Genomic DNA, 26,666 nt, shown 5'->3' with positions numbered 1-26,666 from the left:
TTTCGGCTTTTGTTGCCATTGCTTTGGTGTTTTAGTCATGAAGTCTTTACCCATGCCTATGTCCTGAATGGTATTGCCTAGGTTTTCTTCTAGGGTTTTTATGGTTTTAGGTGTTAGTTTAAGTCTTAAATCCATCTTGAGTTAATTTTGGTATAAGGTGTAAGGAAGGGGTCCAGTTTCAGTTTTCTGCATATGGCTAGCCAATTTTCCCAACACCGTCTATTAAATAGGGAATCCTTTCCCCATTGCTTGTTTTTGTCAGGTTTGTCAAAGATCAGATGGTTGTAGATGTGTGGCATTATTTCTGAGGCCTCTGTTCTGTTCCATTGGTCTATATATCTGTTTTGGTACCACCATGCTGTTTTGGTTACTGTAGCCTTGTAGTATAGTTTGAAGTCAAGGTAGCATGATGCCTCCAGCTTTGTTCTTTTTGCTTAGGATTGTCTTGGCTATATGGGCTCTTTTTGGTTCCATATGAAATTTAAAGTAGTTTTTTTCTAATTCTGTGAAGAAAGTCAATGGTAGCTAATGGGGATAGCATTGAATCTGTAAATTACGTTGGGCAGTATGGCCATTTTCACGATATTGATTCTTCTATCCATGAGCATGGAATGTTTTTCCATTAGTTTGCGTCCTCTCTTGTATCCTTGAGTAGTGGCTCGTAGTTCTCCTTGAAGAGGTCCTACACATCCCTTGTAAGTTGTATTCCTAGGTATTTTATTCTCTTTGTAGCAGTTGTGAATGGAAGTTCACTCATGATTTGGCTCTCTATTATTGTTGTATAGGAATGCTTGTGATTTTTGCACGTTGATTTTTGTATCCTGAGACTTTGCTGAAGTTGCTTATCAGCTTAAGGAGATTTTGGGCTGAGACGATAGGGTTTTCTAAATATATAGTCATGTCATCTGCAAACAGAGACAATTTGACTTTCTCTCTTCCTATTTGAATCCCCTTTATTTCTTTCTCTTTCCTGATTGCCCTGGCCAGAACTTCCAATACTGTGTTGAATAGGAGTGGTGAGAGAGGGCATCCTTGTCTTGTGCCAGTATTCAAAGGGAATGCTTCCAGCTTTTGCCCATTCAGTGTGATATTGGCTGTGGGTTTGTCATGAATAGCTCTTATTATTTTGAGATATGTTCCATCGATACCTAGTATATTGGGAGTTTTTAGCATGAAGGGGTGTTGAATTTTATCGAAGGCCTTTTCTGCATGTATTGAGATTATCACGTGGTTTTTGTCATTGATTCTGTTTATGTGATGGATTACATTTTTGATTTGCGTATGTTGAACTAGCCCTGCATCCCAGGGGTGAAGCCAACTTGATCGTGGTGGATAAGCTTTTTGATGTGCTGCTGGATTCGGTTTGCCAGTATTTTATTGAGAATTTTTGCTTTGATGTTCATCGGGAATATTGGCCTGCAATTATCTTTTTTTGTTGTGACTCTGCCAGGTTTTGGTATCAGGAAGAGGCTGGCCTCATAAAATGAGCTAGGGAAGAGTCCCTTTTTTTTTTTTAATTGTTTGGAATAGTTTCAGAAGGAATTATACCAGCTCCTCTTTTTACCTCTGGTAGAATTTGGCTGTGAATCCGTCTGGTCCTGGGCTTTTTTTTGGTTGGTAGGCTATTAATTACTGTCTCAATTTCAGAACTTGTTATTGGTCTAGTCAGGGATTTGACTTCTTCCTGGTTTAGTCTTGGGAGGGTGTATGTGTCCAGGAATTTATCCATTTCTTCTAGATTTTCTGGTTTATTTGCGTAGAGGTGTTTATAGTATTCTCTGATGGTAGTTTGTATTTCTGTGGAATCAGTGGTGATATCCGTTTTATCATTTTTTATTATGTCTATTTGATTCTTCTGTCTTTTCTTTATTAGTCTGGCTAGCAGTCTATCTGTTTTGCTAATCTTTTCAAAAAACCAGCTCCTTGATTCATTGATTTTTTGAAGGGTTTGCTGGAAAGGATATGGAGAAATAGGAACGCTTTTACACTGTTGGTGGGACTGTAAACTAGTTCAACCATTGTGGAAGACAGTGTGGCGATTCCTCAAGGATCTAGAACCAGAAATACCCTTTGATCCAGCAATCCCATTACAGGGTATATACCCAAAGGATTATAAATCATTCTATAAAGACACATGTACACGTATGTTTATTGCAGCACTATTCACAATAGCAAAGACTTGGAACCAACCCAAATGCCCATCAGTGGTAGACTGGATGAAGAAAATGTGGCACATATACCATGGAATACTATGCAGCCATAAAAAAGGATGAGTTCATGTCCTTTGCAGGGACATGGATGAAGCTGGAAACCATCATTCTCAGCAAACTAACACAGGAACAGAAAACCAAACACTACATATTCTCACTCATAAGTGGGAGTTGAACAATGAGAAGACATGGATACAGGGAGGGGAACATCACACACTGGGGCCTGTTGGGGGGTGGGGGACTAGGGGAAGGATAACATGAGGAGAAATACCTAATGTAGATGATGGGTTGATGGGTGCAGCAAATGACCATGGCACGTGTATACCTATGGAACAAACCTGCACGTTCTGCACATGTATCCTAGAACTTAAAGTATAATTTAAAAAAAAGAAAAATAATGAGATTTCCAAGAAATTTTGCACTTTCCTTGGGCCATTGAAATCAGGCAACAGATGAATAAATTAGGCAAGTGAGAGGCAGTGGCTTTACAGGAAAAAGATCAGCTATAATTAAGCTTAGACATCCGTGTGACTATGACCCAGTGATTTTTATTACTAATTGGCCAGTAATTTCCGATGCGTGGTAGCTTACTACCTAATGAGTTGATTCGTCTGTTGGACAGAATCTATTGTTAGAAAATTCTTTCTTTTGCTGATCTGAAATCTATCTCTTTTGTTACTGGCCCTTGCTTTTTTTTTTTTTTTTTTTTTTTTTGGCTTAATACCTAGTAGGCCTGTTGGTTGTATTGCCCCATTAGAATTTACTTCTTCAGCTTAAATGTCTCTAGTTTCCTTGGTCTTCCTCCATATGACATGGGTTTTGAACCCTTTATCATCTTGATTATTCTTCCCTGGGTGTAATTTATCAGTATTTCTCTTAAAATGCAAGACCCAGAGCTAGTAACTGATCATGTTTTACTTAATCTGCCAGTGTGAGAGGTTGCATAGTAAAATGTAAGAAACATTTGCATTTTAGGGCAAACTATATCATTAATTGGCTCTGTAATATTTGGTTAGTCACTTTGAGCCTAATTTTCCTCAAATAGAAGATTATCCAACACTAATGAAAGATGAGTAACAAAGCTTTCTTGATATGGGAAATTTTGATGTTAGTAAAAAGAAGCTAAAATATTTTGCTTTCATGAGAAAAAAAGTATATCAACCTTCATGCTAAAAATCAAATTCTTGCTAATGTTGACCTTAGTCAACTCATATGAAAATCTAAGGAAAGAATTCTAAGATCATTTCAGTGACATTGCAGTTAGTAGTATTTATGTACACTTAGTAATATCTTGGAGAGGTTAGCTTTATTTCCTTTAACTAATAGTTTCCTTTAGGTATTGCATTTAATCTAGCTGTTTATATTTGATGTCTGTATTCTAATTTAAGTATTTTTTATGAAGAATAACTGTCACCCATTTTACTGATTTCCTGGCATAACCAAATTAATTTTAGTTTTCCTATGTCTGTTTTTTATAACCTCACCATTTTGATTTGAAAACGTTTCCAGAATCTTTTTTGTAGTCCTCGATCGGTATTCAAGTCTCATGTGTACCACTGAGAAACTTTGGGTTCTCGGGCAGGTCATTTAACTGGCCTATACACACACTTCTTCTTCAGTGTAGTGAGAGGCTTTTAGTTCTTTGATTCTCCTCCTCTACCCCGTCCTCTATAGGAGCCAGAAGAAATCCAAACTCACCTCTGCCCATATCTTCAACCTCTTTCTTCTGCGCAATACATTTTATTATACTGGCTACTCAGGTTTTTTCACAGCACTTCACAGTTTATGTGTGTTTTTGCTTTATTTACTTGTTACTCGTTTCCCCCACTAGACTAGATGCTTGATGAGGGCAGATAATGTATTTTCATTCACTGCTCTAAAACCTAATGCACAATAGCATGTATTGCACGTAGAAGATGCCCAAATATTTACTGTTTTTAAAATCCTATGATACTCCTATTACTTTCAGATAGGCATGCAGCTTTTTCTTTCTCCTGAGGTAGTGTTTATTAAGTTCTTTCCAGCCACTTGGACATTCATATTAAAATGAAATTTTAATTTTAACTTGATAAGTGTAAATTACAGTGCCATATGAAGGCTCAAGCTCCAGATATGTCAGTTTCTGTTGTATTCTTTCGTTGATACGTTTCTAGAATAGTTTTTAAATGATTACAGAATGTTCCTAGTGATTTGTTTGAATATGACTTGGTAGCCTTGGCCTATCTGTACTATAAAATTTGACTCTAGCCTAAGCTTAAGTTTGTTGATGTTATGTTTCTTGTGTAGGTGCCAAAAATTTACTCCTTTTAATATTGTCAGTATTGATATCTGTCATCTGGAATGCAAGAATCTTCGGGAAAATTTACTAATAAATTTAATGCTACCGCCATACTGCCCAGAAATAATTTATTTTTTTGGGTGAAGTACCAGAATACTGTTTGGTCACTTACCTAGTGGCTTGAAGGAACCAGAGCATCTGTCCAAGGGAGCCATTTAGTTTCCTCCAGCACTTATGATTGAGCCTTTTGACTATCTCAGAAGTGGGATTGGAGAAGTTTGTCTTGTTCTCTTGTCTCTTTTCCGGTTGAAGTTTAGGAGATTGACTCATTTTGACCATTTTCTTGTTTTGTTTTTACTCTAGGCAGTAACTGGGGCTAAAGCTCTGGGGAGGCACTTGGCTGTGCTTGCTGAAGTATTTCCATAGTTGGACTGTCTCTGGCAAATAAGTGAATTTCATTTAAAGCTCGTCAAAGCTGTGTGAATCTTGGCAGAACCCCATAGAAACCATAGCATAAAATTTCTTTTAAAACAACTATATTATTAAATGAAGAATTTGGGGTAAAGCATATTGCTTTAATGGTCTTAATACTATTTAAAAAGATCCTTCCACATTAATATTCAAAATGTTTTCTAGTAGTGGTGGAAATCCTCTGCGTCTACCAGTTCAAAGGTAGGCTTTCCCAGTCTTTTGGGATCTAGCAAGGATCAGTTTAGTCTTACCTGCATGCAACTGTTCCTGCAAGAATGTAGATTTGAAGTTTTTAATAAAGTTGACCAGTTCATGTATTTCTGATGAATTAAATAGAGGAGAATGGCATTTGAGTAATCAGAAAATACTACCTTAAAATAATAAAAATTATTTAGAAAGTGATGGCATTATAATGTTTTCAAAGCGTAATGATGTTAACTAAATTATCCATTACTGACTAGTACTTTTTTTTTATACCTATCCCCAGGGAAGGAAGAATATGCAAGATGGTGCAAGTGATGGTGAAATGCCAAAATTTGATGGTGCTGGTTATGATAAGGATCTGGTGGAAGCCCTTGAAAGAGACATTGTATCCAGGAATCCTAGCATTCATTGGTTAGAGTCTTTCAAATTATTGAATTAAAGTAGAGGAGAACACAAATTATAGGTTGTCTTGGTGTGTGAGTTTTCTCTTGTTATTCATTAATCTGATTATGACCACATCTATAATATGAAAGTATAGAATTGACGAGACAGTTCTGTCGAATGTAACCAAGGACATTTTACATGTTAATTTGAAGTTGATGTGTAACTGACAAGTTGTTAATTCAATGACATGTCCTCATTAATAACTAATGTTTTCACTGATCTTTTTATGCAGTAAGAATTAGAATAATGTTCTTACTATGAGAATAATTTCATAAGTAAAAAAAAATTAAAAGAATTAGTTTTGACCATAAATCAAAGATCCCTGAGTAAACATTATGAAAGTTTGCTGTTCTTTCAAAGGGATGACATAGCAGATCTGGAAGAAGCTAAGAAGTTGCTAAGGGAAGCTGTTGTTCTTCCAATGTGGATGCCTGACTTTTTCAAAGGGATTAGAAGGCCATGGAAGGTGAGAATTTATTAAATTGGTTTTGATATAAGAATGCTACTTGGCACTGGAATGAAAGGCAGCATTGCTGTAGTTTTTGATGTATTTAACCCATTTTGAAAAGGTTGGGAGAAGTTTATGTACACCCAAAACACCTGGATTTGAATTTGTAGTTGTGATGTGTTACATCTGCATAGCAGGAGAGATGGGCTTGGAGTGTTGAAACTATATAGTCTTTAGGTCACTTCACTCAGGGATGCTGAGCTAGAGATTAGTTTTAAGAATTTTCTGGATGTATGGTTCTATAAATAAAAAGTTAAGCAGATTAAGCAGAAATAATATATGGTCTTATAGAAGAAAGGTGTGATCAAACAGTTTTCAAAAGTTGGAATATTTCTCACTGATGGTTAATTATTTTGTTTTACTTGTCACTGACTTGAAAACAAATGTTTTTTCTAAAAAGAGGTCTTTAGCTGTGTTTTAAAAAACTACTTCTTGGCTGGGTACCGTGGCTTACACCTGTAATCCCAGCACTTTGGGAGGCTGAGGAGGGTGGATCACGAGGCCAGGAGATCGAGACCATCCTGCCCAACATGGTGAAACCTCATCTTTACGAAAAATACAAAAATTAGCTGGGCGTGGTGGTGCATGCCTGTAATCCCAGCTACTCGGGAGGCTGAGGCAGGAGAATTGCTTGAACCCGCGAGTTGGAGTTTGCAATGAGCCAAGATCGCGCAACTGCACTCCAGCCTGGCAACAGAGTGAGACTCCATCTCAAAAAAAAAAAAAAAAAAATCACTTCTGTATCATTACAAAATATCTGACTTTATCAATTTATTTTGTCCTTGCTGTGCTTTTGTAGTATTTATTGGCAAACTGGATTAAGAAAATAAAGATATATTTCTAAAGAATCTTTTTCCTGACCAAATAATTTTTTTCTGCAACAGTAGAATAAAATTCTTGAATAGAACTATTACGTTTTTTTAAAAGGTTATGTCTGAATTTTTTAGGGATTTGTGAGAATAGATTATTTACTGAAATGGGACAATAAATGTATTTTATTTATTTTTTGAGACTGAGTCTCACTCTGTTGCCCAGGCTGGTGTGCAGTGGCATGATCTTGGCTCACTGCAACCTCTGCCTCCTGGGTTCAAGCAATTCTTGTGCCTCAGCCTCCTGAGTAGCTGCAATTACAGATGCGTGCCACCATGCCCAGCTAATTTTTGTATTTTTGGTAGAGGCTGGGTTTTGCCATGTTGGCCAGGTTGGTCTTGAACTCCTGGCCTCAAGTGAACCTCCCACCTTGGTCTCCCGAAGTGCTGGGATTACAAGCATAAACCACTGTTTCAGGCCTGATAAATGTATTTTAAAGAATACATGAAAATAAGGAGACCTCAGAAATTTTTCAAGCTTCTAAAATTGGTCTCAAAATGTAAATTCCAGAATTTCAGAACTGGAATGAGTCTTTGAGATCATCTCAAATCCCCACTATTTGGCATACTAGAAAATTGAAGTCCAAATAGGTTGTGACAACCATAATAGACCTTTAGAAAATTTAAAATTCAATGTGTGTCAGCTTCTTAGGTTTATATGTGCCTTTCTGCGGCACACTTTCTCCTGCATTGTGTGATACCATTCCTTTATCCGTCAAGCACTTATTTAGCCCTGTTATAAACAGGGTTCCTTGTTTTTCAAGACATAGTCCCTGAGCTATGAGACATCCTAAATGGAGAGTTGGGCAGTTACATATAGCTTTCAGTGTTAGGCACTAGCAGAGCCTAATGGGTGGTACAGTCCACATGTGCTTGGAAAGCTCAGCAAAGCACAAAAATGACATGATTAAAGAAGGCTTTATGCTTGAGGACGTGGGATTCAAGCTACAATTTGTAGGGTTGTGAGGATTTCGCTATGTTGGAGGAGACATTTTGGAGATGTAGGAACTTAGAGGGGGATGAATGATGTGGGCAGTGGAATATAGTGAGAAAGTGTAAGTGTTTTTGGGAAATAGATGCATTGAAGTTTTGTAAGGAAGGCAGCATAGAATATTGGTAAGGGGTACAGATCCTGGATCCAGACTGGGTACATGTGAATTCAAGCCCTTTCCACTTATTCTGTGATCTTGAGCAAGTTATGAAACATCTCCATGACTCAGTTTCCTTATCTATAAAATGGGAATAATAATGGTTATCTCATAGGATATAGTGAGGTTAAAATGAATTAATGAGGCCTTAGAACTATGTAAATGTTGAAAATATAAATTAGTGGAAGATTCAAATGGGAAGGTAGGTTGAGGCCAGATTGTATTTCCCAGGAGTTCGATTCTTTTTCTGTAGGTGTTTGGGAGACCTCTTTGAGCAGGTAGGTAGCATAGTTAAATTAGTGAGTTGGGAAAAACAACCTGGTTGCAATGAGCACAGAAAGACGGGAGGCAAAGAGCACGTTCAGAAGTGATTGGCAGTAGTTTAGGCTTAAAATTCAAAGAGCCTGAATTGGGATGGTGATTATGAATTAGGAATGGAAGGACAGATGCTAGTGATATTTAATGAAGGAAGTTGGTAACCTTTTGGATGTAATATATGTGTCAAGAAGGCAGGGGCAAAGATAATTGGCTTTTGCCTATGGCAAAATAGTGATGATAACATAAATGTGGAGCTCAGGAAGGGAGAAAGACACTGGTTTATTGTTCTTGATGTTGAAAGTTCAGTAGGAGCAGGGGGTGCTTCTGGGGAAAGAGATAAGGAATTATTTTTGAGTTTTAAATTTTGGTATAATATTAATGTGGAAATGCACCAAGTTAGAAATACAGGGCTGAAGCTTGTGAGAGAGGTAAAAGATGAACATATTAAGTGCCTTTTCAAAAATACGTTATCTCTGGGATGAACTTTTCTCTAACAGAATAATATTGAGGTCCTTCTTTACAAGTTTTAAGATCAGATTATATGATTTTTATAAAGGCAACATTTAAAATTGTACTTAGAAAATAAGGAGATGCCCAAGAAATAGACTACTGTATTTTCAGTGCTGAAGTATATAAACATATGCTTGAATCACTCTTACATTGAGACTCTGTTCATCTATCCATTTATCATCCAGCCTATCTTAGCACTTCTCAGACTGCACCATAATTTATCCATATTTTCTAATAGATTAAAAGTCTCTTGAGGATTTATATGTGATTCCTGACAGATTCGACTTTTTTTCCTCAGGGCCTAGTACTTAGTAAGCATTGGATAAATTTACACTGGGTAAATACATATTTATTGAGTATTTACCTTGTGTCACATGATAGGCTAAGTGCAGAGGATACCAAAATGAGTGAATAATAGCCCCCAAGAAGCTCATGGTCTTTGGGTGATTAAGCATGTATTTAATGGAGGCCATGTGGTAAGTGCAGTATTTGTTGAGGACAGTGTGACTAGTGTCTGATAGAGTAATGAACACACTGCTATGGCAGAAGAGAGGAAGAGGGACTTAGTCTGCTGTGGAGAATAATATCAGGGATGGCCTCCCAGAGCAGGTGACCCTGAGCTGAGACTTGAAAGATGAATAGAAGTTAAACAGGCAGATGTGATGAAGAAAGGCTCTAAGGCAGAGTGGATATCAGGTACAAACACATGAAAAGTGTAAGAGAACATAGTATATGTGAGGAATCTTGTGTAGTTCAGTGTGGCTGGAAGTATAGAGTGTTTATATGGGACATAGTAACAAAAGACACTGCTGGAATGGTTGGTGTGACCTACTTCTCACAAAGAGCCCTGCATGCCATGCTAAAGATGTCAGTGAGCCATTGAAGAGTTTTTAGTAGAAGGGTGATTTGCAAGTGTAGGAAGATCTCTTTTCTGTAGCAGTATGGAGGACAGGTTGGGGATGGACATAGATGGATATGAAAAAGTAATCTGATCAGGAGGTTGTTGAAATAATCTAGCCAAACAATGAGGACAAATGCCTGCAGAAAGTCATGGGCTTTTTGGTTAGTGAAAAATGAATGGATTTGTGAGAGATGTTTAGAAGGTATCAGTGACTGATTGTTTACAGGGATGCGGGAGAGAGACAAGTTGTATGACTCCCAGATTCCAGGCTTGAATTGAATGACTTCTGACATCACCTACCCAGAGTAGGGCCAAACTTCACAGGTTGAGAGCACAGTTTTCCACAAGACTGCCCTCACTTCAGACACTAGCTACAAACTTGGGGGTCCCCAGGTCACTCTTATGACCAGCTGGCTACAAATTCAGGAGTTCCCACTACCCTCTTAGGTTTGATAATTCTCTAGAATGACTCACAGAACTTAGGGAAGCCTTACAGTCGAGCCCAGGACGACATAGGCATGAACATCGTGGGTCCCCTTACACATGGCTTTTCTTCTGCCTCTGCTGCCCCAGAGACAACAAGACAGCCCCTCCTTTTCCTTCTCCTCCTTAGCCTATCCAAGGTGAAGACCTTTAAGGTGATACACTTCCATTTAATGAATAATAAATATATTTTCTCATAATTTTCTTAATAATGTTTTCTTTTTTCTAGCTTTATTGTAAGAATACCATATACAATACATATACAAAATATGTGTTTACAATTTTTGTTATCAGCAAGTCTTCAAATCAATAATAGGCTATTCAATGATTTTTTTTTTTTGGGAATCAAACGTTATATGCAGATTTTTGACAGTGTGGGGGATTGGTGCCCCAACCCCTGAGTTATTCAGGGAGCAGCTGTACTTACGATGACAGTGTTATTATAGCCAAAGGATGTAAATCAGAATCAGCCAAAAGGAGAAACTTACAGGGCGAGATCTAGAAGGATGCTGAAGGTGACGCTTCTTTCGCCCTCTCTTCCTGGAGTCAGGATGCTTTGCTCTCCTGGATGTGTGACAATATGGAGATTGTTGCATCACATGGACATGTGATAGTACTGTTATAGTTTGGATATAGTTTGGATATTTGTCCCACCAAATCTCATGTTGAAATTTGATTCTTGATGTGGTAGTGTTGGGAGGTGGTGCCTGATGGGAGGAGTTTGGGCCATGGGGGCAGATCCCTCATGAATGGCATGGTGCCAGCCTCATGGTAATGAGCAAGTTCTTACTCTGTTCATTCTCATGAGAACTGGCTGTTTCCCCTTTCTCTTGTTTCTGTTCTTGCCATGTGAGTTCTGCATGCTGCTGGCTCCTTTTCACCTTACTCTGTAAGTGGAAGCAGCATGAGGCCATCACTAGAAGCTGAATGGGTGCAGGCACCATGCTTCCCGTACAGCCTGCAGAACTGTGAGCCAAATAAACCTTTTTTTCTTTAAAATTACCCAGCCTCAGGTATTTCTTTGTAGCAACACAAATGGACTGAGAGAAATACACAGAATATTGCCAGTTAAGGAAGCTCACGTGATCAATTGAATGATTGCCCATGGTTCTTAATCTCTTGTTCTCTTCCTCTTCCCAGAGGTTGAGTTGATACCACATGGCTCAAAGCCCCAGCTCTCTAATCACATGGTTGGTTTTCCTGGCATGGTCATCCCCCATCCTGAGTAGTCTTGTTGGCATAAACTATATAGGGGGCCACCATGAGTCACCTCATTAGCATAAAATTTCAGGGCCTATTGTGATAACAACAATAATCCTGTCGCTAGGGTAATTCCAAGGATTTAGAGGCTATTTTCCAGGGACTGGAGACAAAGGCCAGCTAAATTCTTTATTATACAGGGTACAGGGAACTGATATTGGAAATAGAGAAAGGAGCAGGCTTAAATAGAAACAAAATGTGTTTCAGTAAATACTCAGCAGCTAATTCAAAATAGAGGCCTGGAGCTTCAGATAGAGTGTGAGTGTAAAATTGTGAGATATAAAGGGTGGTTGATGATCTGGGTATGGATGAGTTTGTTCAGGAGTTTTGTAAAGGGAAAGGTTTAGAATTGCTTTGGGAATATAAAGGGCAGAGGAAAGAGGAGATCTGAGGCAGTGAACATAGCCAGAGAGCAGAAGTGTCAGGAAAAGAGCAGTGTCAGGGTTTCAAGAAGAGGGGAATGAATACCATGTATCAGCAGCATCAAAGGTCAGAGAGAAGTGAAGGAGGTGCAACTGAAGAGTGACCATTAGGTTAGTAAATGAAGTATTTTTAGTGAATTGGTGAAGACTAAAGTCATGTGGTAGCTTATGAGGAAGAAATAGCATAAACCATTGAAGGTTGGCTGTGAGAGGAAGGAGAGGTGAATAGTAGCTAGAGGATTTGTAGAGTCAAGTGAAGGAATTTTTTTGTCTCAATTTTATCTGTTTTTTAAACATTTTTTGTGTTTTTGAATTGATACATAACAGATGTACATACTTTTGGGGCTCGTGATAATTTAATACATTCACATAATTTGTAAAGATCCAATCAGTATAAATGGGATATCCACCACCTTTAACATTTGTCTTCATGCTAAGAACATTCAAATTATTCTCTTCTAGTTATTTTGAAATATACAAGAGACTATTGTAAACTATGGTCACCCTACTGATCTATCAAGCTGTGCTCATTAATCAGCCTCTCTTAATTCTCCCTTGACCCCTACCCTTCCCAGCCTCTGGTAACCACCAGTCTATTCTGTCTTCATGAGATCCTTTCTTAGCTCCCACAAATGAATGAAAACATGTGATATGTGTCTTTTTGTGCTTGGTGTATTTCATTTGACATAACGACCTCCACCTCCATCCATGTTGCTATAAATGACACGATTTTATTCTTTTTATGGCTGAATAGTATTCCGTTTTGTATATATACCACATTTTCTTTTTCCATTCATCCATTGTTGGGCACTTAGGTTGATTTTGTATTTTGGCTGTTGTGAATAGTGCTGTGATAAACACAGGAGTGCAAATAATTCTTCGACATATCGATTTCTTTTTTTTTTTTTGTATATATTCCCGGTAGTGGAATTGCTGGATCATATGGTAGATCTGCTTTTAGTTTTTTGAGGAACCTCCACACAGTTTTCCACAGTGGCTCCCACCAACAGTATAGGAGCATTCCCCTTTTTCCATACCTGACCATCATCTATTATTAGCTATCTTTTTGATGAAAGCCATTTTAATTGGAGCGAGATGATCTCATTTTGGTTTTAACTTGAATTTCTCTAATGATTAGTGATGTTGAGCATTTTTTCATGTATCTATTGGACATTTGTATGTCTTCTTTTGAGAAATGTCTATTTTGACCTTTTGCCCATTTTAAAATTGGATTATTTGTCTTTTTGCTATTGAGTTGCTTGAGCTGCTTATGTGTTCTGGTTACTAATCCCTTGTCAGATGGATATTTTGCATATATTTTCTCCCATTGTGGGGGTGTCTCTTTGTTGTTTCCTTTGCTGTGCAGAAGCTTTTTAGTTTGATATAATCTATTTATCTGTTTTTGCTTTGGTTGCCTGTGCTTTTGAGGTCTTACACAAAAAAAATCTGCCTGGACTGATGTCCTGTAGCATTTCCCCAGTGTTTTCTTCTAGCAGTTTCATAGTTTGAGGTTTTTAACCTATTTTGATTTTATTTTTGTATATGGTCTTTAATCCATTTTGATGTTTGTAAATGGTGAGAGATCAGCATCTAGTTTCATTCTTCTGCATATGGCTATCCAGTTTTTCCAGCAACATTTATTGAAGAGACTGTTCTTTCCTTAAGGGATTTTTGTAATGTGGCAGATTAAAGTATATTTGTATACCGAGGGGAAAGAGCCAGTAGACAAAGAGATACAGGAAAGAGAGAAATTAATTAAAGGAGTAATGTCATGAGGAGGTGAAGTTTATAAATATCGTACAGTAGCTATAAACAGCTGCTAATGTTAGAAATTAACTCCTATAGGAGGTGGCCACATTAATGGCATTACAGGATGGCCCTCTCAGAGAGCATGGAAAAAGGCATCGGAGAAATAAGAACTTTGCTCTGGTTATGCCTATAGCATCAATTGGTCGTTTTCATGGTTTTTAAAATCTCAACCTCATGCAAAGTTGAGGGCTCCCTAACAAAGCAAAAAAATATTTTTGTAAAACTAGTGTTTCAAATTTTAGTGATTCCTGGTTGATCTGTGTTAAAATTCTATAGCTAGAAAAGCATTTGGACAGTTTCTGAATTTGGAGTTTATGAAACTTTGACATACACATAGTTTTCAAAGCCTAAATCCCCAGAAGCTTGTCAAACCAAAGTAGCAATTGGATCAGAATTCCTCTTAAGGAATCACCAGGTATTATGCAAAAAATTTAGTGTGAGCTATGTATTTAAACTCTATTAAAAATTCTGGAAGAAAATAATTATTTAAGAACCCATTAGTTTTTAAGACTAGAGAGTTGGATTCTTTGAATAATTTTTATTCTTCACTGATTTCTTTTTATAGAATACTTTTATGTTTGTTTTCAAAACTAAGAAGTAACTGAAGTTTAGTTTTTATTCTGTACTGGTTCTTTCATCACTATTACTATTTTATATAAGCTAACGCATTAAAATGATACAAATCTTGCTAATTTGATTATGTTTGAATTACCACTGGATTTTTTACTGTTAACCTTATTAACTCATAAATGGGTCTTTATTTTTTACTGAAAGCTGTGTATTATAAATGCACTGTGGAAGATAGGTTCTGTCCCTTATAGAGGGTAAAGAATGTGTAATTCTGCCACATGTGATAGAAAATGTCTTATTTTTATTATGTGTAAACAGAACAGTTGCTTTTAAGCAGTGCTGAATATTATATGTATATGTCATATGCTAGGTTCAGGAAACTGAGATTATATCTAAATATATGAGAAACTTGTTTGTTGTCTAGTCTTTTTGTTAGGTTATCTCTGACTACCTCTGGCTTGAGACATTTTGTGAAATTTCTTCATTTTTTCTAGCTATAAAATAATACTCTTACTAAATGCATCATGATTTTACTGTGACAATTTTGAGTTTATCTTTTGATGGAAAAATCTCAATGTACATTAATAGCTGATGATAATTTATAAAAAAATTTTTTAATCTGATAAATCATTTAATTTGTCTTTTGAAATTTCAGGGTGTACTGATGGTTGGACCCCCAGGCACTGGTAAAACTATGCTAGCTAAAGCTGTTGCCACTGAATGTGGTACAACATTCTTCAACGTTTCGTCTTCTACACTGACATCTAAATACAGAGGTGAATCTGAGAAGTTAGTTCGTCTGTTGTTTGAGATGGTGAGTGACGATATATTCAGATTTCAAAGTAGTGTGTGTAGGCCTATGATGCCCCCATAAATCAGTTCTGTCCACCTGGAATCTTTTTTGAAAAGGGCAGTGTAGTTCTATTTTAATAGTTCTTGACACACTGATGAGAATTGGGGTGATGGGTTTTGTGGGGTAGTTGGTGTATCTTCAGTGTATCTTTTTCTTTAAGGTAAAGCAAGGCCTTTTGGCATCCTGTCCACTCAGGGTGGAAGAAGAGACTTTGGTCGTATATGTGGGTTGACTGGTATTTCTGGATCTCTAGGGAGCTGATGGAACAGAAGAATATTTTCATATGTATTTTAAAAATCAGAGTCTGACCCGTCATTAAAGTTTATTCCTTTTTCATATGGGATTTGCAGTAACTTAAGAATGTATATTTGAGGATTGAGGTTGATTTATTTTTGAAAAATTTTTCCATTATGGAAATTTCCAGATATGAAAGTAGAAAGCATAGTACAATGAACCCCTATGTATCTATCACCCAGCTTCACCAGCCATATAACCTTTATTTTTAGAAATTTCTTTTTTCTCATGGGAATGATTGATTTAGCCTTTGCCATAACCAGATGATGGCATTAAAACAGTGAGAAGTTTCTGCTCTCTTTTGCCATTGTTTTAAAAGATTTTTTTAAATACTCCAATTGTTTTATGAGATTATTGAATGATTTCTTTAAAATATTTTCATAAAGGCTAGATTTTATGCCCCTACCACGATCTTCATTGATGAGATAGATTCTATCTGCAGTCGAAGAGGAACCTCTGATGAACATGAGGCAAGTCGCAGGGTCAAGTCTGAACTGCTCATTCAGATGGATGGTAATTGATATTTAATTATTGTTTCAAAACTCTCATTTTTAAATATTTTGTGTAAACTCATAATCAATGGATGGATTAGAAGGCAGCCTGAGTTTAATTATTTGTTCATTCACCCATTTATTTGTTCATTTGTTCATGCACTCAGAAAGCATTTCTTGCATACTTGTTAGAGATCATGCACCATTTCAGATTCTGAGGTTACAAAGAAAAAGGCTACTATGGCCTTCAAGGAGCTTACTGTTTGGAGCAAAGTTTCTGGAGGCATGATCTAGAGTCCTAGGGATCTTTGAGACCCTTTAAAGAATCTGCAAGGTCAAAACTATTTTCATAGGAATATCAAGTCATTGTTTGCCTTTTCTTTTTCACTCTCATTCTCTCACAAGTGTACAGTAGAGTTTTCGAGAGGCTGTAAGACGTAGGGTATCATAAAAAGAAAGCAGAAGCAGATATGAGAATCCAGCTTTTCTCTAGATAGACATTAAAGAGATTTGCAAAAATGTTAAAAAAAAAAAAAAAAAAGCCCCTCTTCTTTTTTTTAATATTTTGGAAAACATACTTTTCATAAACATATGTAAATAAGTAATGAATTTATCATTATTTTTAAGTGAATTAATATTTTTAAATTTCAATTTTAGGTTTTTTCCATACAATTTACCCATGCACCATCTATTTTAAGTTTTAAAGATATTGATAGATACACTCCACACACAAAAAAGCTCTTTGGGGTTCTCAATAATTTTTTTTGTTTAAGGTTCAGAGTCTTGCTGTGTTGTCCAGGCTGGAGTACAGTGGTGTGAACACAGCTCACTGCAGCCTTGACCTCCTGGGCTCAAGCAATCCTCCTGCCTCAGCCTCCTAAGTAGCTGGGACCACAGGCACATGCCACCACATCTGGCTAAGTTTTATTTTTTGTAAAGACAGGGTCTCTCCATGTTTCCCAGGCTGTAGTTGAACTCTTGAGCTGAGATGATCCTCTGGACTCAGCCTCTCAAAGTGCTAGGATTATAGACATGAGCCACTGCACCCAGCCTCAGTAATTTTTAAGAGTATAAAAGGGTCCTGAGATCAAAAAGTTTGAGAACCACTGATCTGGATGGGAAGCAGGCAACTGATCAGATGAGTATAATACATTATGGTACATTCTGGCGTAGAAGTAAAGTCTGGGTGCAGTGGAAAACACAGGAGAGGCACCACCAAGACCAGGGGAGTCATGGAAAGAGATAGCCAAGTTGGACTTTGAAGCATTGATAGGAGTTATCAGGACAGAGAAAAAGGGCCCTGAGGAGCCATAGAAGGAAAAGGGTTATGGGCTCAGAGCTGCTGTTTAGAGATAAGTTAGCTGTGTGGTAGACAAGAGGCCGTTCAAGCAAAACATTAGAACAGATAAAATACATTAAAAAATATCCAGGGTGAGGGACTGAGTGCAATGGCTCATGCCTGTAGTCCCAGCACTTTGGGAGGCTGAGGTAGGAGGATCACTTGAGGCCAGGAGTTCAAAACCAGCCTGGTTAACATAGCAAGACTTTAACGTAGCAAAAACTTTAAAAAGTAGCTGGATGTGGTGGCATGTGCCTGTAGTCCCAGCTACTCAGGAGGCTGAGGTGGGAGGATAGCTTGAGCGCAGGAGTTTGAGGCCACAGCGAGCTGTAATTGTGCCATGGCACTCCAGCCTGGGCAACAGGGCAAGAACCTGTCTCATAACAACAACAACAACAAAACACCAACAATATCCAAGTTGTGTTGTTTCAAAACAGTCACGGTTATTCATCAACTGTGGATACTTACTGAATACTTACAATGTACTATGAGACCCTTCCCTCAGTGAGTTTACCATGTTAACTTTTGCTAAAGTATGAGAGAAAGGAATGAGTATGTTTTATTTTTGAAGTGGGGTATAGGAGAAAACATTAGGTGTTTAAAATTGGAAAAGGAAATCACTGAATACAAATTTAGTCAGCTGAATTTCATTGAGGGATATTTGTGACTATTGTTGATTATTAGTTGGACAGCTTGATTCTTTGTCATAATGACCGAAGTAGGAGTTTCATAATAAGAAAATATTATATGTTTCAGTGAGCTGAGATCATGCCAGAGCACTCCAGCCTGAACAACAGAACCAGACCTTGTTTTTTTAAAAAATACTGTATTGAACTAGGTTGCTTTAAGTCCACTAGCACTTTATTATGCTAGACTAGAAAGTCTTATCAATAAAGTTTATGGGGTTTTTTTATCTTTTATTTCTCACTACATATTTTCTAAAGTTTCTGTTGTGTGACCTGAAATTTTTTATTCTAAAATTTTAATTCTGAAAAGGAGACACTGTGTATATACATGTAGTTGGTTTGGTTATTTTTATCTGTGATTACTGGGTTCATTCTTAAATGTCTTATTTATTTTTTACAGGTCACTTAAAAGTTTAAAGGACAACATCATGGAAATATAACCTGTCTTTCAAAATTATAATTGCATGCTAGAATATTAAGTAAATGTGAACCCTCTGTTTTCACTTCTTGAGAAAATAGATTAAAAACTAAAATAAAATTTTTGCGGAACTTTATGATTTAAAAGAAATAAGAGGAATAAAACAGAGCCTAATCTCCCATACCTTTTCTTTTAGGAGGAAAATACATTCATTTTCTTACAGAAAAATGGATGTTTTTATTGGATTAAAATCCTGCACTAGGTTGCACAAGAAAAAAAAAAGAAAGAAAAAAAAAATCCCACACTAGGTTATGTGAATTCTTCTACTTCTTTGTTTTGTAGTTATCTGTTAGTGTGTCTGGTTTTGCCACCACACAGAGGTCAGGACTGCACTTTCTTTATCGTTGATTCTGCCACTTTGGCTAAAAGAAATGTTAATTGAATGAAAGAATAAAGAGTTGTAAGAAAAACACTATCTTTTCCTCCCTTACTGTGTATAGGAGTTGGAGGAGCTTTAGAAAATGATGATCCTTCCAAAATGGTTATGGTATTGGCTGCTACTAATTTCCCGTGGGACATTGATGAAGCTTTGCGAAGAAGGTTAGAAAAAAGGATATATATACCTCTCCCAACAGGTATGATGTCTTCTCTATTTTGAGCTTTCTGTTACTTTTTGTTACCTTTCCCATGTATCTAAATCTTTATTCCATTGCCATTCTGCTTAAAGAAGTTTATAGCATCACAAAATTAATTTGTAGTAGATGTGAACACAGGCCACAGTACTCTATTGAAATTTCTTATGTTTCAGAGAAATTCTTAAGTTTGGAACAATATTCATCTTAATAAATATGGTAGCACTTTTAAGTTTTCACTTTTCAACTTGAAGTTTTTTTGGATCTTTTTCAGAATATGCTGTTTTGGAGAGAGAGAGAGTGTGTGTGTGTGTGTACACATATTTATTTATTTATTTTGTGACACAGTCTTATTCTGTTGCCCAGGCTGGAGTGCAGAGGCATGATCTCAGGTCACTGCAACCTCCACCTCCTAAGTTCAAGTGATTCTTGTGCCTTAGCCTTCCAAATAGCTGGGATTACAGGTGTGTACCACCACACCCAGCTAATTTTGGTGTTTTTAGTAGAGACAGGGTTTTGCCATGTTGTCTAGGCTGGTCTTGAACTCCTGGCTTCAAGTGATTTCCCGCCTCGGCCTCATAAAGTGCTGGGATTACCGGTGTGAACCACCACGCCCAGCCTGGAAAATATAGTTTCATCCTGTTAATAAATGCTGAAATATCCATGAATGAATGTTTTCTTTTTATTTTGAGGTAAAATTTACATACAATGAAATGTACTTAAGTATATAATTTGATGAGTACAAATCTGTACACCTGTTTAATCAATACCCTAATCAAGATGTAGGGCATTTCTATCATCCTGTAAAGTTCTGTGTGCCCCTACCAGCTAATCCTCCAATAGGCATTCACTGTACGTGATTTTTATCACCATAGATTAGTTCTTTCTCTTGTTAAACTTCATATAAATGGAATCGTGACTGCATGTACTCACTGTGTCTGGCTACTTTCACTTGAGGTTCATCCATGTGATCACATGTATCAGCAGCTTATTCCTGGTATGATTATACCACAATTTGTTTATTCTCCTTTTGATTGGTATTTAAGTTATTCCTAGTTTTTTGGCTATTATGAATAAAGCTGTAAACTTTCTGGTACGTATCTTTTTTATGGATGAATGTTTTCAATTCTTTTGGATAATATAAGAAAAGAAAAGATGGGTCATAGGGTAGGCATATGTTTAGCTTTTATAGGAAATACCCAAACTGTTTTTCAGAATGGTCATACCATTTTGTATTCCATCATCAATAAATGAGAATTCAAATACTTCCATATCCTTGCCAACATGTGGTGTTGTCACTATTTTAATTTCAGTCATTCTAGTAAGTATGAAATGCTGTCTCATGATTTTAATTGGTATTTCTCTGATGACTTACGTTGAGTACCTTTTTATGTGCTTTTTATGGTCATGGTATACTTTTTGTATAGTGTCATTTCTTTTTCCCAGTTTTTAATTGGATTATTTGTTGTTTTATTAATGCTTTTTATGTTATTAGATCTGTGCATTGTGCATATTTTCTTCCAGTTTGTAGTTTGCCTTTTGATTTTCTTTATGGTATCTCTTAATAAGCAGACATTTTAAATTTTGATGAAGTCCTGTTGACAATTTTTTTTAATGAATAGTACTTTTTGTGTCTTAAGAAATCTTGTCTATCCCAAAGCTGCAAAGTTTTTCTCCTGTTTTCTTTTGGAAACTGTATTTATATCTGTGATTCCTCTTGAATGAATTTGTGTGTGTGTGTGTGTGTGTGTGTGTGTGTGTGTGTGTAGATGAGTCATTTTTTTCATATGTATATGCAGTTGTATCATCACTTACTGAAAGGAGTTTTCTTTTTTCATTGAATTACTTCGGCACCTTCATTGAAAATTATTTTGTTGTGTATGTGTGGGTCTATTTCTGAATACTATTCTGTTCCATTGTATTTTAAATACACACACATATGGTTATCTAAGTTATTTGTTTTTTTCTTGAGCAAGCTTTGGTAACTTGTGCCTTTCAAATAATTTGTCTATTTTTTTTATAAGTTGTCAGATTTGTTTGGATTTGACCTAATGTGAATGTGGAAGCTGATTAAATAGTTATGGGAGATTGTGGAAGCTGATTATATAGTTCATGTCTGGTTCTGGAACTTGAAGTCAGTAAGGAGGGCACTTAGGAAGAGATGATGAATGTGAAGTGGTAGAAGTAAGGACAAACTCTACCTGTGGGGGTGGAATCCATGAGGATACATTGGAATCTATGTTGAACTCTTTTTTTCCACTGAGACTCCTAACCTTGATGAATGGACTTTCCTACAGAAGAAGCTAGCTAAATGTATACCTGGCTCAAAAGTCAAAAAAGGTGAAGGAAGAAATGTGGCAGAAACTACCAAGAGCTGAAGGTGGAAGTGCTGCCCCACACTAATAAGGAGAACCAAGAAATAAGTGACAGTATGTGCCAGCTTTCTGAGATGATTAATTTTTGCCTTTCACATCTCAGACATGACTCATGTGGTCCACACTAACCCAGAGCTATGCAATAAAGAGAATTCTGGGAAATGAAATTCCAGCTTCACTTAAGTTGGCATAATACAAATCTACACACCTTATTTTCCTTTTATTGGCCATAGGATCTGTAGTGATGGCTCATTTTTCATTCCTAATATTAGTAATTTATCTCTATTCTTCATCATTTTTGGTTGAAATTTATCAATATTGTTAATCTTTTCAAATAACCAAATTTTTGCTTTGTTAATTTTCTACTTTCTATTTCAATGATTTCTTCTCTGTTAAAAAAATTTTTTTTTTGCTTTACACTTTGAGTATAATTTTTTCTATCTGAAGTTAGAAACTAAGGTTATTGGTTTTAGGAACCACCCTTCCCCACTTTTTTTTTTTTTTAAGAGACAGAGTCTTGCTCTGTTACCCAGGCTGGAGTTCAGTGGCATGATCTTAGCTCACTGCAGCCTCAAACTTTTGGGATCAACAGATCCTCCCACCTCAGCCTCTTGAGTAGGGACTACAAACACATGTCACTGTGCCTGGCTAATTTTTTTATTTTTATTTTTTGTAGAGACAGAGGCTTGCCGTGTTTCCCAGGCTGGTCTCAAACTCCTGGCCTCAAGCAATCCTCCCAGTAGCACTGGGATTACAGATGTGAGCTACTGCACCTGGCCTTTTTTTCTTTTTTAAATTTGCACATTTTAAAGCTATAAATTTCTCATTAAGTACTGCTTTGCTTTTATCTCACAAATTTTGCTATATCATATTTTTTCTACTATTAAGTTAGAACTGTTTTCTAATTTTCCTTTTTTATCCCCTTTCTTTGGTCCTTTAGTTATTTAGCATTTAAATTGGTTTGGGAGCCAAATAATTGGGGTGTTTTCTAGATATCTTATTGTTGATTTTTACTTTAATTCATTGCAGTTAGGAACATACTCTGTAAGATGTCAATTTTTGAACTTCTTGAGATTTGTGATTCAGCATATAGTCTGTCTTGGTGAATGCTCCAGATGCAATTGAATAGAATGTTTATTCTGAGCTTGTTATAACATTCTATAAATGTCAGCTAGATGAAGTTGGTGTGTTAGTATTATTCAAATAATAAGATCCTTGCTGATTTTTTAGTCTAGTTTTTCTGTCAGTTACTGAGAGTGGCTTATGGAAATCTTCATCTATGACTGGGAACTTGTTCATTTCTCCCTTTCGTTTTTTCAGTTTCTGCTTTATGTTTTGCTTCATGTGTTTTGATGTTCTGTTGTTAAGTAAATAAATTATCATTGTTACATCTTCTCGGTCCTATTACCATTATGCAATGCCTCTGTATCTCTGAGAATACACTTTGACTTGGTATCTGCTTTGACTGCTTTTAATTTAGCCTTACCGTCTTTCTTTTCCTATTGTTGTTGTGCTATATCTGCTTTTTATCTTTAATTTTTACCCTACCCTGTCTTTATATTTACGGTGCAGTTTTTTTTTTTTTTTTTTTTTTTTTTGAGATGGAGTCTCGCTCTGTCACCCTGGCTGGAGTGCAGTGGCAGGATCTGGGCTCACTGCAAGCTCTGCCTCCCAGGTTCACACCATTCTCCTGCCTCAGCCTCCCGAGTAGCTGGGACCACAGGCGCCTGCCACCATTCCCGGCTAATTTTTTGTATTTTTAGTAGTAGAGACGGAGTTTCACCGTGTTAGCCAGGATGGTCTCGATCTCCTGACCTTGTGATCCGCCCGCCTTGGCCTCCCGAAGTGCTGGGATTACAGGTGTGTACAGTGCAGTTTTTATAGACAGCATATAGTTGAGCCTTGCTATTTGTCCAGTCTGTATCTCTTTTTTGTTTGTTTGTTTAAGTCGGAGCCTCACTCTGTTGCCCAGGCGGGAGTGCAGTGGCGCGATCTGGGCTTACTGCAACCTCTGCCTCCCAGGTTCAAGTGATTCTGCTGCCTCAGCCTCCTGAGTAGCTGGGACTACAGGCATGTGCCACTATGCCTGGCTAATTTTTTTATATTATTAGTAGAGACGGGGTTTCGCCATGTTGTCCAGGCTGGTCTTGAACTCCTGAGCTCAGGTGATTCACCCACCTTGGCCTCCCAAAGTGCTGAGATTACGGGCATGAGCCACTGCACCTGGCTGTCTCTGCTTTTTAATAGGAGTATTTAGTCCATTTAAATTTAATGTAATTGGTGATATGACTGTGTTTAAGTCTGCCATCTTGCTATTTGTACTGTTTGTTTCTCTGTACCCCCCTTGCTAATTTCTTTTGGGCTAATTGACTGTTTTTACTATTCATTTTAATGCCATTATTGGATTTTTAGCTATACCTGACTATATTTATTTTAGCAGTTGCTCTAGCAATTACAGTATGCATCGTGCCAGCCATGTGAGAGCTACCCTTGGATGACTGTAGTTCTGGTCCATGTATTAACTGTGACTTCCTGCGAGACCTTGTATTAGTCAGAGTCCTGCAGAGAAACAGAACCAACAGGATGTGTATATATAAAGAGGTTTATTTTAGGCAGTTGGCTCACACGATTATGGGGGCTGGTAAGTCCAAAATCTGTACACTGAGCTGGCAGGTTAGAGGCCCAGGAAGAGCTGATACTGCAGTTCAGGTCCAAAGGCTATCAGGCTGGAGACCCAGGGAGAGCCAGTGTTGCAGTTGAAATCTGAAGGCCATTTGCTGAATTTCTTCTTCCCAGTGTGGGCGGTGGGGGCAGTGTCGCGGTTCAGTGTTGTGTTTTATTCAGACCTTCCATTGGTTAGATGAGGCCCACCCACATTAGGAAGGGCAATCTGCTTTACTCAAAGTCCACCAATTTAAATGTTAATCTCATTGAAAAACATGTTCACAGACACATTCAGAATAATTTTTCTTTTTCTTTTTTCTTTCTGAGATGGAGTTTCACTCTTGTTGCCCGGGCTGGAGGGCAATGGCGCAATCTTACCTCACTGCAACCTCCGCCTCCTGGGTTCAAGGGATTCTCCTGCCTCAGGCTCCCAAGTAGCTGGGATTACAGGTGTGTGCCACTGCACCTGGCTAATTTTATACTTTTAATAGAGACAGGGTTTCCTCATGTTGGTCAGGCTGGTCTTGAACTGCTGACCTCAAGTGATCCACCAGCCTCCACCTCTCAAAGTGCTGGGATTACAAACATGAGCCACTGTGCCAGTCCCAGAATAATTTTTTATCCACTGTTTGGGCACCATTGCCCAGCCAAGTTGACGTATAAAATTAACCATCACAGACCCCAAGCTGGAACTTTCTAGCTACGCCACTCTTAAATTCTTGGCACACAGAAACTTTGAGGATAATAAATAGTTATGTAAAGTCTGTAAGTTTTAGTAAAATTTTTTATTCAGAAATGGATAATCTACCACTTTATAGTTTTTGTCAGCTAATTTTAGCAATTGAATCATTTGTTTTTGTTAGCTACTTTTTAATTCTCTTCAGTGTGGGCCATATTTTTCTGCTTCTTCACATATCCAATAATTTTACTGTATGTGCTACATTGTAGGGATTACAGATTATGTATTTTCCTTTAAATAGTGATCTGGCAGGCATTCAGATTACTGGCAGAACTAAGAAAAATCAGTATTCAGTTCTTCACTGCCTGTTGGCCAATACATGCAAACAGTTTTCTTTATATTCTGTCTCATTTTGTAGTTGTTTACCATAGGGGGCAAGTTTGGTAACAGTTATTTCATCATGGCTAGAAGTGGAAACCTCACCTACAAATTTTGAAACTTAATTTTTGTAACATATTCCTTGATCACTTTTTTGACTAGACCCCAAGGCTTGTATAACATAATTACTTGATAGATTTTTTAGCTCACAGATTCCATCTTATATTATCTTTTCTGGCTGTTACTCTGTATTCTAATAATTTAATAATGTCATTACTTAAAAAGAAAACTTTTCTTTTTCTTAAAATAGTGCTTTATTTCGCTGGGTGTTGTTGCTCACGCCTGTAATCCCAGCACTCTGGGAGGCCAATGTGGGCAGATCACCTGAGGTCAGGAGTTTGAGACCAGCCTGACCGATATGAGAAACCCTGTCTCTATTAAACATACAAAAGTTAGCCAGACGTGGTAGCAGGTGCCTGTAATTCCAGCTACTCAGGCGGCTGAGGCAGGAGAATCAACTTGAACCCACGAGGTGGAGGTTGCAGTCAGCCGAGATCACACCACAGCACTCCAGCCTGGGTGACAGAGTGAGACTCCATCTCAAAAAAAAACAAAAAACAAGAAAAAGAATTTACTGATTGAGCTCATAAAATAATACGCTTATTTAAAGCAACAACAGAAGCAATTAGATTTAGAACCTATAAGCCATGCTGGAATATTGCAACTCTGAGAATTAACTCCTTAATACCTGGCTCATACACAAGTTGAAATTCGAGCGTTTTTTTCCTTATTTGTGATTTTAAAAGTTTCTTCCCATTCTTTTTCTCTTCATCCATGTTTTTGTTTGTTTGTTTTTTTGAGATGGAGTCTTGCTCTGTTGCCCAGGTTGGGGTGCAGTGGCGTGGTTTCGGCTCACTGCAATCTCCACCTCCCGCATTCAAGCAATTCTCCTGCCTCAGCCTCCCAAGTAGCCAGGATTACAGGCACACGACCCCACACCCAGCTAACTTTGGTATTTTTAGTAGAGACGGGGTTTCACCATGTTGGCCAGGCTGGTCTCCAACTCCTGACCTCAAGTGATCCACCTGCATCCACCTCCCAAAGTGTTGGGATTACAAGCATAAGCCACTGTGCCCAGCCCATGTTTTGTTTTCTAAACAAAATATGTGTATGATATCTAATATATTTGAAAGTTTAATTTTACTACCATATTACAGTGATTATAAATAAAAATTGATACCAGTGGAGGGAATAAAATTTTTGCTGCTCGAACTGTCAGTCACATTATTCAAACTTTTGTTTTTTGAACTTTAATTCTTCACTATAATAAAGGGAGAAAAACATAAGTAGAAAATAATTGATGACAGCAAGTTTCTGAACTGCTAAGGAAAGCTTAGGTATTAGGGGAAAGACATACTTTATATTGGTATAAAGGTAGGAACTCCATTTCCT

The 26,666-nt window shown here is 37.3% G+C and overlaps 1 protein-coding gene and 1 long non-coding RNA gene across 9 annotated transcripts in view; one reads left to right on the top strand and one right to left on the bottom strand.

Moving 5' to 3' along the window:
- KATNAL1 (katanin catalytic subunit A1 like 1) overlaps nucleotides 1-26,666 on the top strand; it is a 104,922-nt gene that overhangs the window by 61,019 nt on the left and 17,237 nt on the right. For all 8 annotated transcript variants that reach the window (NM_032116.5, NM_001014380.3, XM_024449424.2 and 5 more), the window contains 5 exons: nucleotides 5,447-5,574; nucleotides 5,968-6,073; nucleotides 15,061-15,219; nucleotides 15,939-16,065; nucleotides 18,987-19,121. In NM_032116.5, coding sequence (NP_115492.1) covers nucleotides 5,447-5,574; nucleotides 5,968-6,073; nucleotides 15,061-15,219; nucleotides 15,939-16,065; nucleotides 18,987-19,121 — 655 coding nt within the window. The remainder of the gene's footprint in view (nucleotides 1-5,446; nucleotides 5,575-5,967; nucleotides 6,074-15,060; nucleotides 15,220-15,938; nucleotides 16,066-18,986; nucleotides 19,122-26,666) is intronic.
- LOC102723381 (uncharacterized) lies at nucleotides 4,616-11,629 on the bottom strand. Its single transcript, XR_007063741.1, has 4 exons — nucleotides 11,427-11,629; nucleotides 10,833-10,908; nucleotides 5,211-5,279; nucleotides 4,616-4,925 (listed from the first exon to the last, which is right to left on the bottom strand). It is a non-coding gene; the product is annotated as an uncharacterized LOC102723381 (long non-coding RNA).

This window comes from Homo sapiens, chromosome 13, assembly GCF_000001405.40.
Source record: "Homo sapiens chromosome 13, GRCh38.p14 Primary Assembly".
NCBI classification, from domain to species: Eukaryota; Metazoa; Chordata; class Mammalia; order Primates; family Hominidae; genus Homo; species Homo sapiens.
Note: the sequence above shows the minus strand (reverse complement) of the source record. Positions and strands in the feature narration are given on the sequence as shown.